The 16,158-nt window shown below is 44.9% G+C and overlaps 2 annotated features.

Moving 5' to 3' along the window:
• Positions 3,641 to 3,935: a silencer, noted in NCBI's record as "tiled region #13635; K562 Repressive DNase matched - State 19:H4K20". NCBI's record gives its function as "represses a minimal TATA promoter and a strong SV40 promoter by Sharpr-MPRA in K562 cells {active_cell/tissue: K562}" and the evidence as "EXISTENCE:reporter gene assay evidence [ECO:0000049][PMID:27701403]".
• Positions 15,015 to 15,074: a silencer, noted in NCBI's record as "silent region_13428". NCBI's record gives its function as "represses an Ori minimal core promoter by ATAC-STARR-seq in GM12878 lymphoblastoid cells {active_cell/tissue: GM12878}" and the evidence as "EXISTENCE:reporter gene assay evidence [ECO:0000049][PMID:35858748]".

Raw genomic sequence — 16,158 nt, forward strand, 5'->3', positions numbered from 1 at the left:
CTCAGTCCCTCATCCCACCCGACTAGAAATACCCACAGGTATTTCTAGGGAGGGGCAGACCACCCCTTCACAGTAAAGCCACAATATTTTTCAAATATTTTTACCCCAGGTGGTTGAATCCCCAGTTGAATCCAGAACCCACAGATGTGAAATCCATGGGTGAGGAGGGCCAGCTGTGCCTGTTAGCATCCCCTGACCCCCACGGTGCCCACTGCTTCAATGGGTCAGGTGATGTCATGCACCCCTCCTGGCAAAGAGAAGCATTACCTCAGCTCCTCTTGGGGCTGCAGGTCTAACCGTCTGCATCTTAACGTTTGCAAAGGTTGCCTAACCCCTAATATAGGAAATAGATTTGGGGAAGGAGCTTGAGTCTGTAGCTGGAGATTTGTGATTGATGTTCACAGAGATAGTTAAAGTCTTGGAGTGGCTAAGATAGCCACCTGCAGAGAAAAATCACCTGTCATTCACCATTGAATCCTCCATCTCTATTGCACAGGGCATTGTATAAACATCAGGTGTCTATGGAACAAATGCAAAGAGAGTACACAAAAGAAGCAAAAGGGACTGTCTTTGCACGATGCAGAAAATTAGACCTGCATGGCACGTTTAGCCCTAAATTTAGGAATCTACCCCACTAGACAGGAAATATCTTTTCAATTAACAAATGGCCTCTCCACTCCTTCTTTCCTTGGAAAGTTTACTGAACAATGATTGGGCACCGTAAACTTTGTTTTCATGTCAAACAGTACCTGCCCTCCAGTGGTTTATCATCTATTTTGTGGGACATGGCACAAAGGAAGAAAAACTGTTTGGTCCTCAGGAAGTCTGTAACCTCACCAGACGAGGCATCCATCTCACACTTGCTTCTCCGGGACCACTAGAGAGCCACATGAGACCATGTGCAATGAAATGCTGAATTCACAACCACTTACCACTGAAAATGAGCAGCACAGAAAATCAGTGTTTTTAGTTAGGTGGCGCTATCAGGGCAGGCTTCCTGAAAGAAGCTGGCTTTGAACTGCCCTAGGCTGGGAAGAAGTAGAAAACAGAACGGAAAATTCATTGTCCCATGGTCTGGAGGCATCCTGAATCCTTGGACCAGCATCAGCCAGAGATCCCAGTGGCGAGACAGGGGAGTGAAGCCATTGACAATCCTGCCCATGTTCTCACTCTTGAGAGTGTGGCACTGGGGCAGAAGCAGCAAAGACGACCACTGCATACTTTGCAGCTCCCAGACAGAGGCGCACTTGGCTTCCAATGCACAAGGCCCCCTTCGATAACACCTTTTCAGGGTGCAGGATAATAGAGTAAAGTGTGGGTGGACTGGAGTGAAGTGCAGCCCAGGATGATAGCACCAGCTCAGAACGTCCTCAGCGAGGCCAGCAACAATTTGGAGAATATTGAGATGGAGCTGTCCAATGAGCCAGAGGGTCCCTGAGAGATGAGATGGCCTTGGCCTGGATTCCCCACCCCTCACTCACAAAAGCAGCTTGGTCCATGGAGCTGGGGAGCACTGTTCAATAATAATGAACAGCCCACCAGGCAGGCCTCCCATCAGAGCCCAGTGAGGGGGCAGGTGAGCGCTGTCTCCCCAGCACCTGCTCCTGCCTGGGCCAGTGGCCCTGACCCTTCTGACAAATCCCTAAGTGCGCCAACTGCTACGTGGTTTCTCACCATCTGCAGCCCAAACTCTGCCTCCAAAGCCTAGTGGATCCACCCAATGGGCCTTACCTCCCACTCTCCCCACACATTCTGCTGTAACTGAGACTCGCCTGCTCCCTGGGCTGCAACGCTCATGTTTACCTGGACTTCCTCACACCGTCCCCACCACCTGAATTATCCTGCTCCTTTCCACCCCGAACAATGGTAGGAACAGAAGCAGCACAGAAGAGATAGCTTCAAGTCCTCCACTAAACAGAGAGTGCCTGCATAATCCCACAAACGAACATAAAGTTAACCATCTTACAGTTACAGAGGCCCGACGTCCACAGTTAGCCTCAGCCAGGCTGAAGTCACAGTGTCAGCACGGCTGGCTCGTTCTGGAGCTCCTGGGAGACGTGGCTCCCTTGCCTTTCCCAGCTCCTAGAGGCATCATGAGTTCCTTGGCTTATGGTCCCATAGCACATGGACTTCTGCTTCTGTGGCCACATCTCCATCTTTGACTCTGGCCCTCCAGAGTCCCTCTTTTGAGGACTCCTGTGATTACATTACCAGAGCCACGTAAGTAATGCAGGATAATCTCCCCCCTCAAGATCCTTAGTTGAATCACATTTGCAAAGTCCCTTTTGCCAGGTAAGGTCAGAAATTCACAGGTTGTGGAGATTAGGATGTGAACATCTTTGGGGGACCATCATTCAGCCTGGCACAGTGAGATACACATGCATTTTTAAATTTTTTGTTTATCTTTTATACACAGAGTCTCACTATGTTGCCCAGGCTGACCTTACACTCCTGAGCTCAAGTTTCAAGCAATCCTCCTGCCTTGGTCTCCCAAGTAGCTGGGACAAGAGGCACACACCACTACAGCTGGCTTATATCTTATAAATCAATAAGAAAACAGTTTAACTTCTTTTTTTAAGACTCAGTTCTGCTCTGTCGCCCAGGCTTGAGTAGAGTGGTGCAATCTTGGCTCACTGCAACCTCCACCTCCTGGGTTCAGGTGATTCTCCTGCCTCAGCCTCCCAAGTAGCTGGGACTACAAGCACGTGCCACCACGACCGGCTAATTTTTGTATTTTTAGTGGAGACAGGGTTTTGCCATGTTGACCAGGCTGGTCTTGATCTCCTGACCTAAAGTGATCCACCTGTCTAGGCCTCCCAAAGTTCTCAGATTACAGCTGTGAGCCACCGCACCCAGCCCAGTTAAACTTTTTTTTTTTTTTTTTTTTTTTTTTTTTTTGAGACAGAGTCTCGCTCTGTTGCCCAGGCTGGAGTGCAATGGTGTGATGTCAGCTCACTGCAACCTCCGCCTCCCAGGTTCAAGCGATTCTCCTGCTTCAGCCTCCGGAGTAGCTGGGATTACAGGCATGCACCACCACACCTGGCTAATTTTGTATTTTTAGTAGAGATGGGGTTTCTCCATGTTGGTCAGGTTGGTCTTGAACTCCCAACCTCAGGTGATCCACCCGCCTCGGCCTCCCAAAGTGCTGGGATTACAGGAGTGAGCCACTGCGCCTGGCCCCAGTTAAACTTTTTTAATGGTAAAAGGTTTGAGCAGACACTTGACCAGAGAAGACAGACAAAATGGCAAAAAAGTTCATGAAAAGATGTGGAACATCGTACTTCATTAAGGAAATGCAAATTGAAACCACGATGATACAATAACTGCATCCCCACTAGAAGAGGTGAAATCAAAAGATTTCTGGTAAGGCTGCAGGGCAGGCGGAACTGTCACGTGCTGCTGGCAGACACACAAAATGGCACAGCTACTGTGGAAAGCAGTTTAACAGTTCCTTATAAAGTCAAACATAGGACGTAGTAATACTTCCCCTAGGTGTTTATCCAAGACAAATGAAAGCAGATTTCTACAATACAATGTGTACAAGAATGTTCCAGCAGCTTCCTGTTGGGAGAAAAGCTGAGTGTTGGGAGAGAAGCTAAGGCAGGGCTTGCATGTCTGCTAGACTTGCTGGCTCCTTGCTTCTAGCACTCCCATTATCTCAAGCAGTCATATGTTTCTCATTCACTTGATATACTGTTTCCTTTCAACCTCCACATTCTCACCACCTGTTTCTTTGTTTGAGCACCAATAAATAGTGTGGGCTCCCAGAGCTCGGGGCCTTTGCAGCTTCCACCCTCACGATGGCTCCCTGGTCCTACTTTCTCTCTCAAACTTTTTCTCATTCCTTTGACTTGATTCAAGATTTCAAAATCTTGAAATCCAGCCCTGCCAAGGGAAGGATGGGGGGACATGTCAATGACAAACAACGCCGGACACTAGTAAATGACAAGGACAGATTTTTGCCAGTAATGCACTATTGCAATCAGGAAAGGAGTCCAGCACGAGCTGATTTTGATTTGTGCAGAGGTGACTGGGTGCTTTCAAGGGAGAATGAGGGGACCAGGTGTGGTGGCTCATGCATGCCTGTAATCCCAGCACTTTGGGAGGCCAATGTGGTCGGATCACTTGAGATCAAGAGTTTGAGACCAGCCTGGCTAACATTTTTTTTCCCATCTCTACCAAAAAAAACAAAAAACAAAAATTAGCCAGCTGCGGTGACACAGCCTGTAGTCCCAGCTACTCAGGAGGCTGAGGTGGGAGAATTGCTTGAACCTGGGAGGCAGAGGTTGCAGTGAGCCGAGATCCCACCACTGCACTCCAGTCTGGGCAACAGAGCAAGACTCCATCTCTAAATAAATAAATAAATAAAGAATGAGGGGATAGGGAGAGGGTAAGCAAGTCATGGAAGTGAGAAATTATAGAATGTGGGGAGAGGGCTTTGTCCATGGGAAACCCATCTGGGTTTGATGACGGGCTTATTGAAGTTAGGCTCCTGTATTCCCAGAGACTGGAAGACAGGGGCCCTGTCTTCAGTTGTTGGCTGGAACAAACAGTAAATTCTTCTGACAGCCTTGAGTTTTCTCAAGTAGGCACTTTAGGCAGGCGGTGACAGGGGCCCTCAGGTCATCACAGGGGTGAGCTGTTAGAGACTATGATAGTGTTTGTTCAAGTCCTTATAAGCCAAGGTTGAGGCCTAATAGAGAAGGGGGCTCAGAGGAGCCCGGCCGAAGTTTGGACAAGGAGAGAATCTTTGGCAGAGGAGATGTCACCAGGCTCTCGGGAGGAGGCAGTAATATTGTTGCACAACCAGAGGGAAGCCTGCAAGCCCAGCCTGTGGAAACAGAGGTCCTGAGAGCACAGCCCAACACTACGGAACTGGCCTGTGGCAGAGACTAGAATGATTAGGTGGGCACCTGCTCCCCTGAATAAGACCACACTTCCCACTCTCTCTCACAGACAGAAACATTCCTCAATGGGATGTGAACATAAGTGCTTCGCACCACTTCCAGGTCACACACTCACAGGGAAAGTGTTCTCCTTCTCTTTTTCTTTCCCCTTCCCACTGGCTGGAATACCACCCCCACACACAGACAAGGACATGACCCTGGAAAGGTGGAATGGAAAGATAGAAGGAGCCTGGCCCACTGATGGCTCTGTGAAGCAGAGCCTCCATACCAACTCAAACTTCTACACACAGAAGAAAACCAGTTCTCTTGTTTTAAACCAATTTATTCTGGGTCTCTTTTGCCCCAGCCAAATTTACATCCAACTAATGTAATGCCTATCCTCACCAAAGGATGGGCAGCCTGACAGGTCATTTCAGAGCATCCAGAGAACAGAGTGGGTGGCAGAAAGAGATCAAGGACAAGGCCAGGCACAGTGCCTCATGCCTCTGATCCCAGCACTTTGGGAGGCTGAGGCAGGCAGATCGCTTGAGGCCAGGAGTTCATGACTAGCCTGTCAGCATGGCAAAACATCATCTCTAAAAATAAAGAGAGGGAGATCAAGGACAATACAAATTGCAATCTAATGAAGATATTGCTGCAAGGGGAGTAGACAGTCATCCGTTGGCCTCTGCAATCAAATATTTCCCCAGAGAATCAGGGAGGGAGGAGTCTCATGCTGGGTGCCGGCCCTGTGCCACTGCTGAAAATCTCACTGCCACAGCGTCCTGAGCTGGCAGTGGCTTCCACGGTATCTGGGAGCCAGGAGAGCGTGAACCTGCGAGCCCCACCCATGAGGGCTGATTAGGAACACTGGAAGAACTGCAAGAGGGGCTGGGCTCGGTGGCTCACACCTGTAATCCCAGCACTTTGGGAGGCCGAGGCGGGTGGATCATCTGAGGTCAGGAGTTCGAGACCAGCCTGACCAACATGGTGAAACCCCATCTCTACTAAATAAAAAATTATTGGATGTGGTGGTGCATGCCTATAGTCCCAGCTACTTGGGAGGCTGAGGCAGGAGAATCGCTTGAACCTGGGAGGCGGAGGTTGCAGTGAGCCAAGATGGTGCCATTGCACTCCAGCCTAGGCAACAAAAGCGAAACCCTGTCAAAAGAAAGAAAGAAAGAAAAAGAACTGCAAGGGGATGAAAAAAAATCTTGCTAAGGGACATGATAAGGAAACTGTCAGTCAGATATAAAGGCAGACCACATAGCTGTCACCCCATAGTCAGACACTCTGAGGGGAACCACACCCATGCATCCCACCCATCTGGAGAGCTGCAGGATGGCATGCATCAGGTTGGGGAAGGTTTGGTCCCCACAGCCCTGACTGAGAAGTACATTCACTAGAGATTTGTACAAAATAGAAGGCTCTGGGTTTCTGGTACCTGTTAGCCTAAAAAAAAGTGTGTGAAAGGCAGCAGGCCTATGCTTCTGGTTCCCTGGCCTGGAAGATTTCTTGCTCTGTACAGACTGCATATAATAATGAATTTCATTCAAGACTGGCCTGGCCAACATGGTGAAAACTCGTCTCTACTAAAAATATTAAAAAATTAACTGGGTGTTGTGGTGGGCACCTGTAACCCCATCTACTCAGGAGGCTGAGGCAGGAGACTCGCTTGAGCCAGGGAGGCAGAGGTTGCAGTGAGCCGAGATCGCGCCACTGCACGCCAGCGTGGGCAACAGAGCGAGACTCCGTCAAAAACAAAAACAAAAACAAAAAAAACAGAAAAGGAGAATGAACTTCAGCTGTGCTTCTGTAAGGAGCAAGGATGCACCAGGTAGCCAGGTCCTATCATGTAGGCCATAGCCTTGATCTCACATATGTCCTTTCCCCATCTTGTTTACTGGTTCCAGAAAGAGAGAGAGAGAGAGAGAGAGAGAGAGAGAGAGAGAGAGGAAGGAAGGAAGGAAGGAAGGAAGGAAGGGAAGGAAGGAGAGAAAGAAGGAAGGAAGGCAAGAAAGAAAAGAAAGAAAACGGGGAAGGGGAAAGGAAGAGGGAAGGAAGGGAGGGAGGGAAGGAAGAAGGAAAGAGCCTTGGCAGGGACCTGGCATACAGGGGCTTAGGCTGTAAACTGAATAACGCCAGGAGATGCCATTCACATGGACTACATCAGTGATGGCATTTCCTGGAATTGTGCACTGTGGAACCCCTGACCCCAAGGGCTCCCAGTGGGCGTTGTCACAGTCCCAAGCCCCAGTCAGCAGAGGTGGTCTGCCTGGTTTGACACTGGTGAGAGTCCCTGTCACCAACCTTGAATTTAGGCTGGGTAGAAAAGGAAAAGAGGCCAAAGCGGGCAGTAAGACTGGGAGGGAAAAAAAAAAAAAGGAAGGTTCAAGGAACTGAAGACCTCCAGGAGATCCAAGAATAGGAGTAGTGCAGGTGTGGGAAAGTGGGAAGAACTTTGCCATCTTCCTCAAAACATGACCTTGGGCAAATTACAGTCCCACTCTGTGTTTTGGTCAATGAGGGACCCATCTGGTGGTCCCAGAAGGTGATAATACCGTATTTTGTTTTTTGTTTTTTGTTTTTTGAGACACAGTCTCACTCTGTCGCCCAGGCTGGAGTGCAGTGACGTTATCTCTGTTCACTGCAACGTCTGCCTCCCGGGTTCAAATGATTCTCCTGCCTCAGCCTCCTGAGTAGCTGGACTACAAGCATGCGCCACCACGCCCAGCTAATTTTTGTAACTTTAGTAGAGATGGGGTTTCGCCATGTTGGCTAGGCTGGTCTCAAACTCCTAACCTCAAGTGATCCACCCGCCTCGGCCTCCCAGAGTGCTGGGAGGCGTGAGCCACTGGCCTAGAACCGTATTTTGACTGTGCCTTTTATATGTTTAGCTATGCTTAGATACCTGAATACTTACCACTGTGTTGCAGCGGCCTACAGTATTCAGCACAGTCCCATACCGTGCAGGTTTGCCACCGGGGAGCAGTAGGCTATGCTGTCTAGCCGGGGTGGAGTAGGCTCTACCATCTAAGTTTGTGAAGTACATGCTGATATTCCCACAACAGCAATGCATTTTTCAGAACCTATCCCTGCCGTTAAGCAATGCGTGACAGCACTTCAACTCCTCTGGCCTGTTTGCTCTTCTATAAAATGCCCACCTCACAGGGGGTTGTAAGGATTAAACAAGACAACCAGGACCTGGCATTTGGTCGGTGCTCAGCAAATACTGGGTTCCTCTCCTCCCCTGTCACCTGGGCTTCAGGTTTCCTGAGCTTATCTGCAAACCTGTGCTGAACAAACAGAGCTACAGCCTGAGTGGCTAAAAAACATGAAGAGAGGACAAGAATGTGATGTGTGGGAGGCAGAGGAAAGGGTCATGGCCACGCAAAACTCTACTCAGAATTGCAAGGGGGTTCCTCTGCTGCCCCTTCGAGCCCCCACACTGAAACTGGCTTTTCTGCTATTTTTAAGATTTGTTAAGTCAGGCCTGCTTTGCATGGGAGCTCCACCTCCACAATAGCCACTTTCTCCTTGGGATCTGACTTGGATCCCCACCTCAGCATTGTCAAAGGCCCCGTGGAGCCTCTGAAGCTCTCCCTCCTGTGGCCTTTTGAGTCTAGTGCCTGTGCTGTGCATGGCTCATCACGCTCCATAAGTATTTGTGAAATCAAAATGTCTCCTTCTTGCCCAACACACACCCATGGCTCCTCACAGCCCAACTCCCCTGCTGTAACCCATCAGCCAATCCAGTCACATTAGACCTCTTGCATCCCCTGAAAAAACTCTATGCCTTTCCTTTGCCTAAAATGCCCTTCTCCCCCTTCACCCACTGTCTCATTCCTCAGGACCCTTCTCAAAAGTCACTCCATCAAAAAGCCTTTCAGATTCCAGCAAACACAAGGGAACTTCCGCTTATCCCCATTCCTCAAATCACTTTGATTGTGAATTAATTAATTAATTAATTAATTTATTTATTTATTTTGAGACGGAGTCTTACTCTGCTGCTCAGGCTGGAGTGCAGTGGCATGATCTCAGCTCACTGCAACCTCCACCTCTAGGGTTCAACAGCTAATTATTGTATTTTTAGTAGAGATGGGATTTCACCATGTTGCCCAGTCTGGTCTCAAACTTCTGACCTCAGGTGATCCAGCCACCTTGGCCTCCCAAAGTGCTGGGATTACAGGCATGAGCCACCACACCCAGCCTGAAAATTTTTAAGTTTTTAACCTTAGCAGCTAACAGCAGAGTTCTTTAAAAGGTATTTAACATCTGTTTTTGGAAGATATGTTAATGAAATTGGATAACTGGGTTTCCTGGGCACGTCAAACCATAGTCATCAACATAATGTACCCTACCTTCTCATCAAAGTCCTAATAAGACAAGCTTTCGTTTCTTTATGACAGAACCACCCTAAGCGTTTAAATTCCTTACCCAGAACTTAAGTCTTAATTTAAAATTTTCATAAATCAAATTATTTGGAAAAATCTCAATACTGATTACAAAATAATCAAATTATTTTACACATTTAAAAATATTCGAATCTATTATCATTCAACTTTTTTAATATTTCAAAATAAGTCACAAGATGAATATCAAATCCTCTTAACTATTTCAAATTAATATCACAATCATAATATGCCAGATTCTCTAACATGACATTCTCCAAAATATTTCAGATGCCTTAAGAAACAAATAATACATACAAATTACCATGATGATTTCAGTTTTTTTCTAAACCTAATGCAAAGTAGTAATATCACGGATTTGGTAGACATTTTTCTTATCACAATGCTTATTTCTACACCTTCACAGCATTTTCCTATGCTTACCACTTTAAGGAGATCAGAATTACTGTCTCAGTTTGGCTGGGGCTGCTCAGTCCAAAATTTGGAACTGAGATGAGTTACAGATTTCAGTTTAGTTAGAGTTTCTGAATTGCATCAGAACAGCTGGGTCTACTTCCAGAGTGGTCCCTCCTGAGGTTTATTTTGACTCATGGTTCTACAGGTTGTAAGGGAAGCATGGCACCAGCATCTGCTTCTGATGAGGGCCTCAGGAAGCTTCCCATCATGGCATATGGCAAAGAGGGAGCAAGCAAATCATGGTGAGAAAGGAAGCAAGAGTGAGCGGGAGGAAATGCCAGGCTCTTTTGATCAGCCGGATCTCGCATGAAGTCATAGAGTGAGAACTCATTCATTACTGCAGGACAACACCAAGTCATTTGTGAAGATTCCATCCCCGTGACCCAAACACCTCCGGGTAGGCCCACCTCCAACACTGGAGGTCACATTTCAACATGAGATTTGGAGGGGACAAACATCTAAACCATATCAAGATTTTTCATTTATTTGTCTAAATTGATTCCTATGTATTTCATATTTTTGTAGCTATTGTAAATGAGATTGCTTTCTTGATTTCTTTTTTCAGATTATTCACCATTGACATATATAAATGCTACTAATTTCTGTATGTTGAGTTTGTATCCAGCAACTTACTGAATTAGTTTACCAGTTCTAGCAGTTTTTTGGTGGAGTCTTTAGGTTTTTCTAAGTGTAAGTTCATGTCATCTGTGAACAAGGCTATGATTTCTTTCTTTCCAATTTTAGTACTCTTTATTTTTTTCCCTTGCCTAATTGCTCTTCCAGGACTTCCAATATTATGTTAAATAAAAGTGGTGAAAAGTGAGCATCCTTGTCTTATTCCAGATGTTAGAAGAAAGGTTTTCAATATACAATGTTAGCTGTGTGTTTGTCATCTACGGCCTATGTTATTTTGAGGTATGTTTCTTCTATACCCAGTTTGCTGAGGATTTTTACTATAAAGGTATGTTGAATTTTATTGGATGATTTTTCAATATCTATTGAAATGGTCATATGGCTTCTGTTCTTGGTTCTGTTAATGTGATGTATCACATTTATTGATTTGCGTATGTTGAATCATCCTTGAATTCCTGGGATGAATTTTACTTGATCATGGTGAATTATTTTTTAACATGTTGTTGAAGTTCACTAGTATTTTGTTGAGAATTTTTGCATCTATGTTTATGCTTGATATTGGCCTGTGGTTTTCTTTTTTGTGTGTATTTATCTGGTTTTGGTATCAGAGTAATGCTGACTTTCTAGAATAAGTTTAGAAGTATTCCCTCCTCTTCAATTTTTTGAAGCACTTTCTTGAATATAATTAGTATTATTTCTTTTTTTTTTTTTTTGAGACAGAGTCTCACTCCATCGCCCAGGCTGGAGTGCAACGGCGCCATCTGGGCTCACTGCAACCTCCACCTCCTGGGTTCTAGGGATTCTCATGCCTCAGCCTCCTGAGTAGCTGGGACTACAGACATCCACCACCACACCCAGCTAATTTTTGCATTTTTAGTAGAGACAGGGTTTCAACATGGTGGCCAGGCTGGCCTTGAACTCCTGACCTGAAGTGATCCACTTGCCTCAGCCTCCCAAAATGCTGGGATTACAGGTGTGAGCCACTGTGCCTGGCAGGATATTATTTCTTCTTTAAATGTTTGGTAGAATTCAGCAGTGAAGCCATCAGGTTCTGGGCTTTATTAATTAATTAATTAATTAATTAATTAGACATAGTCTTGCTCTATCACCCAGGCTGGAGTGCAGTGGGGCAATCTCGGCTCACTGCAACCTCTGCCTCCCAGGTTCAAGTTATTCTTGTGCTCAGCCTCCTGAGTAGCTAGGATTACGGGCATGTGCCACCACGCCCAGCTAATTTTTATATTTTTAGTAGAGATAGGGTTTTGCTATTTGGCCATGCTTGTCTCGAACTCCTGTTCTCAAGTGATCTGCTTACCTCGGCCTCCCAAAGTGCTGGGATTACAGGCGTGAGTCCCCATGCTTACCTGGCTTTTCTTTGGTGAGAGAGTTTTTATTACTGCTTCGATCTCGGTACTCATTATTGATTTGTTGAAGTTTTCTATTTCTTCACGGTTCAATCTTTTTTTTTTTTTGAGATGGAGTCTCGCTCTGTCACCCAGGCTGGAGTGCAGTGGTGTGACCTTGGCTCACTGCAACCTCCGCCTCCTGGGTTCAAATGATTCTCCTGCCTTAGCCACCCGAGTAGCTGGGATTACAGGTGCCCACTACCAAGCTTGGCTAATTTTTGTATTTTTAGTAGAGGTGGGGTTTCATGATGTTGGCCAGGCTGGTCTCTAACTCCTGAACTCAAGTGATCCACCCACTTTGGCCTCCCAGAGTGCTGAGATTACAGGCATAAGCCACTGTGCCCAGCTGTCTTCATGGTTCAATCTTGATGCATTGTATATGTCCGGAAATGTATGCATTTCTTCTAGGTTTTTTAGTTTGTTGGTGTATAGTTGTTTATGTAGTTTCTAATGATTCTTTGTACTTCTATTGTCTCAGTTATGTCTCTTTTTTCATTTCTGATTTTATGTATTTGAATTTTTGCTCTTTTTTTCTTAGTTTAGCTAAAGGTTTATTTTGTTTATCTTTTCAAAAAGCCAACTTTTTGTTTCATTGATTATTTGTAATTTCTTTAGTCTCAATTTCATTTAGTTCCCTGATCTTTATTATTTCTTTCCTCCTAATTCTGGCTTTGGTTTGCTCTTGCTTTTCTAGTGCCTTGAGGTGCATCATTAGGTTGTTTATATGAAGTCTTTCTACCTTTTTTTTTCTTGATTTCACAGTGTTTGGAATCTACTTTTTTCTTATAGGCATTTATTGCTATAAACATCCCTCTTGTTACTGCTTCTGCTGTATCCCATAGATTTTGGCTTGTTGTATTTCCATTTCCATTTGTTTCAACTTTTTAAAATTTCCTTCTTAATTTCTTTATTGACCTATTGATTGTTCAAGAGCATGTTGTTTTGTTTCCATGTGTTGTGTATTGTCCAAGGCTCTATAGTGACCTTCTTTATCTCTTTTTACAGTCTTTTATTTGTAGTCTATTTTATCTGATATAAGAATAACTACTCCTGCTCTTTGTTGGCTTCCAGTTGCATGGAATGTCTTTTGCTATCCCTTCACTTTCAGTCTTGGTGTGTCTTTATAGGTGAGATGGGTTTGTTGTAGGCAGCATATAGTTGGGTCTTGTTTCTTTATCCTGTCAGCCAACCCATGGCTTTTAATTGGAGAATTGAGTCCATTTACATGCAGGGTTATTATTGATATTATTACTACTGCCATTTTGTTGCTTGTTTTCTGATCGTTTTGTAACTCCTTGCTTCCTTTCTTTCTTTCTTCCTATCTTTCTTTAGTCCTGTCTTTCTTTGAGGTTAAGTGATATTCTCTGGTAGTATGTTTTAACTCATTGCTTTTATTTTTAATGAATCTATTTCAGGTTTGTGCATTGTGATTACCATGAGGCTTACCAAAAACATTTTATAGATATAACAGGTTATTTTAAAGAGATAACAGCTTAAAGAAAATAAAAATGAACACGGAAAAAAGAGTTTAACTTTACAATTTAACTCCATCCCCCACATTCTGACTTTATGTTGTCTCAATGTATGTGTATTTCTATAATGTCCATCTCCTAACAGATTGCTGTAGGTATTGTTGTTTTTGATAGATTTGTCTTTTGGGCTGCATACTAGTTATGAGTAGATTGCACATTGAAATTATAGTATTAGAGTATTCTGGGTTTGTTCATGTACTTAATTTTACCAGCAGGTTTCATACCTTTACATATTTTCTTTTTGCATGTTAGTGTTTTTTTTTTCTTTCTTTCTGATTGAAGAATTCTCCTTAGCACTTCTTGTAACACAGGTCTGGTGGTAGTGAACTCTCATCTTTTGTTTGTCCAGAAGAGACTTTATGTCCTCTCCATATTTGAAGGGACACTTTTCCAATACAGTATTCTTAAATGGCAGTTTTTTTCTTTCAGCACTTTGAAAATGCCATCCCATTCCCTTCTGATCTGTATAGTTCCAATTGAGAAATCTGTTGCCAGACAAATTGGAGCTTTTTTATATGTTATTTGCTTCTTTTCTCTTGCTGCTTTTAGAATCCTTTCTTTACCCTTGACCATTGAGCATTTCGTTATTATATGCCTTTTGGTAGTCTTATTTGGGTTGAACCTGTTTGGTGTTCTCTGATCTTCTTGTATGTGGCTATTTGTCTCTTTCTCAAGTTTGGAAAGTTTTTTGAGTGTCCGTGTTTGATTTTGAATAAGCTTTCCACCCTTTGCTCTTGCTCAACTCCCTTTTGAACACCAAGAATTCTTAGATTTGGTCTTTTGAGGTAATTTTCTATATTTAGGAGACAATTTTTATTGCATTTTATTCTTTTTTTGTTTTTGCTCCTCTGTGTATTTTTTAGAAGCCTGTCTTTGAGCTTGCTGGTTTTTTCCCTCTGCTTGATTCATTTCGCTGGTTGAGAGCCTCTAATGATTTTTTTTTTTTTTTTCAGAGACAGAGTCTCACTCTGTCGCCCAGGCTAGAGTGCAGTGGCATGATCTTGACTCACTGCAACCTCCGCCTCCTGGGTTCAAGTAATACGTCTGCCTCAGCCTCCCGAGTAGCTGGGACTACAGGCGCATGCCACCATGCCCAGCTCATTTTTTGTATTTTAGTAGAGACGGGGTTTCACCATGTTGCCCAAGCTGGTCTCGAACTCCTGAGCTCAGGCACCTTGGCCTCCCAAAGTGCTGGGATTACAGGTGTGAGCGACCACGACTGGCCATGAATTTTTTAGTTGAGTGAATTTATTTCTCAGCTCCAAGATTTCTGTTTGATTATTCAAAATTTCAATCTCTGTATTAAATTTCTCTTGTAAATTTCTGAATTACTTTTGTATGTTATCTTGGATATCACTGAGTTTTCTCAAAACAGATATTTTGAATTCTTGGTCAGAGGTTCACAGATTGCTGACTCATTAAGGTCAGTCACTGGTTCCTCACTTTGTCCATTTGGAGTCATGATTCCTTCTTTGCTATTGTTTCCTGTGATGTGAGTCTATGTCTTTGCATTAAAGGATTTGTTATTTATTTCAATCTTCTCTGTCTGGCTTGTTTCAGTTTTTATTTGATATGTTTGCTTGGGGTTTTTATTTTTAATTTACCTGTTGGTTTTATTTATTTATTTATTTATTTTATTTTTCTTTTTTTCCAGCTAGGTCACTGCCTCCTTTTTGACACTAGATGGTGGCATAAGCCCAGGTTTGCCTTGGTTCTGGAAAGCAATTAGTGCCACCCGGCCTGGCGCTGTGGCTCATGCCTGTAATCCTAGCACTTTGGGAGGCTGAGGTGGGCGGATCACGAGGTCAAGGGATCAAGACCATCCTGGCCCACATGGTGAAACCCTGTCTCTACTGAAAATACAAAAATTAGCTGGGCGTGGTGACACGCGCCTGTAGTCCCAGCTACTCGGCAGGCTGAGGCAGGGGAATCGCTTGAACCCGGGAGGCAGAGGTTGCAGTGAGCCAAGATCGTGCCACTGCACTCCAGCCTGGTGACAGGGTGAGACTCCATCTCAAAACAAAAGAGTGCCACCCATCAGGATAAGGGAGGTCTCAAAGGGGACATTTCAGTAGTGTGGGAAGGATGGTTAGGGGTTGTGCCCAGGGGACCTGTGGAACAAACCTACCACATGGTGCTGCTTAACAGCCACGCTGATTTGCTGTCTCCTTTGGCCAAATTAGAGCAGAGTGTCCAGGGCTGGGGATGGTGGTCCTGCCTCCCTACTCTGTCTCTGGCTGTCCTCTGGGATATTTCTTATTCCAGGCACACTTTCTTTCTGTGCCTTTCTGTGGGTTGAGTTTCTGTGGGTTGAGTCAGGGACTCAACCTTTCTGTGGGTTGCTTTCTGTGGGTTGAGTCAGGGACAGGTTTCCTGCCAGTGAACCCACGATGATGGAGAAGCTGGCTGGCCATCTCGATCTCACTTTTTCCAGTGAAGAATGCATGAGTCAGCGAGTTTTCTGCACGCTTGGTGTGGGGCAGATTTGAGGGAGGGGCATGATGGATATAGAAGTCTGAGTCTCAGCCAGGCACAGTGGCTCACACCTGTAATCTCAGCACTTTGGGAGGCCGAGGCAGGCAGATCACCTGAGGTAAGGAGTTCAAGACCAGCCTGGCCAACATGGTGAAATCTGTCTCTACTAAAAATACAAAAATTACCCACGCGTGGTGGCGCACACTTGTAACCCCAGCTACTCAGGAAGCTGAGGCAGGAGAATTGCTTGAACCCGGGAAGTACAGGTTGCAGTGAGCCACTGCACTCCAACCTGGGCAATAGAGCGAGACCCCGTCTTTAAAAAAAATTTTCTTTAAGTCTGATTCTCTTGACAATG

This window comes from Homo sapiens, chromosome 22 (genome assembly GCF_000001405.40).
Source record: "Homo sapiens chromosome 22, GRCh38.p14 Primary Assembly".
Classification (NCBI taxonomy): Eukaryota; Metazoa; Chordata; class Mammalia; order Primates; family Hominidae; genus Homo; species Homo sapiens.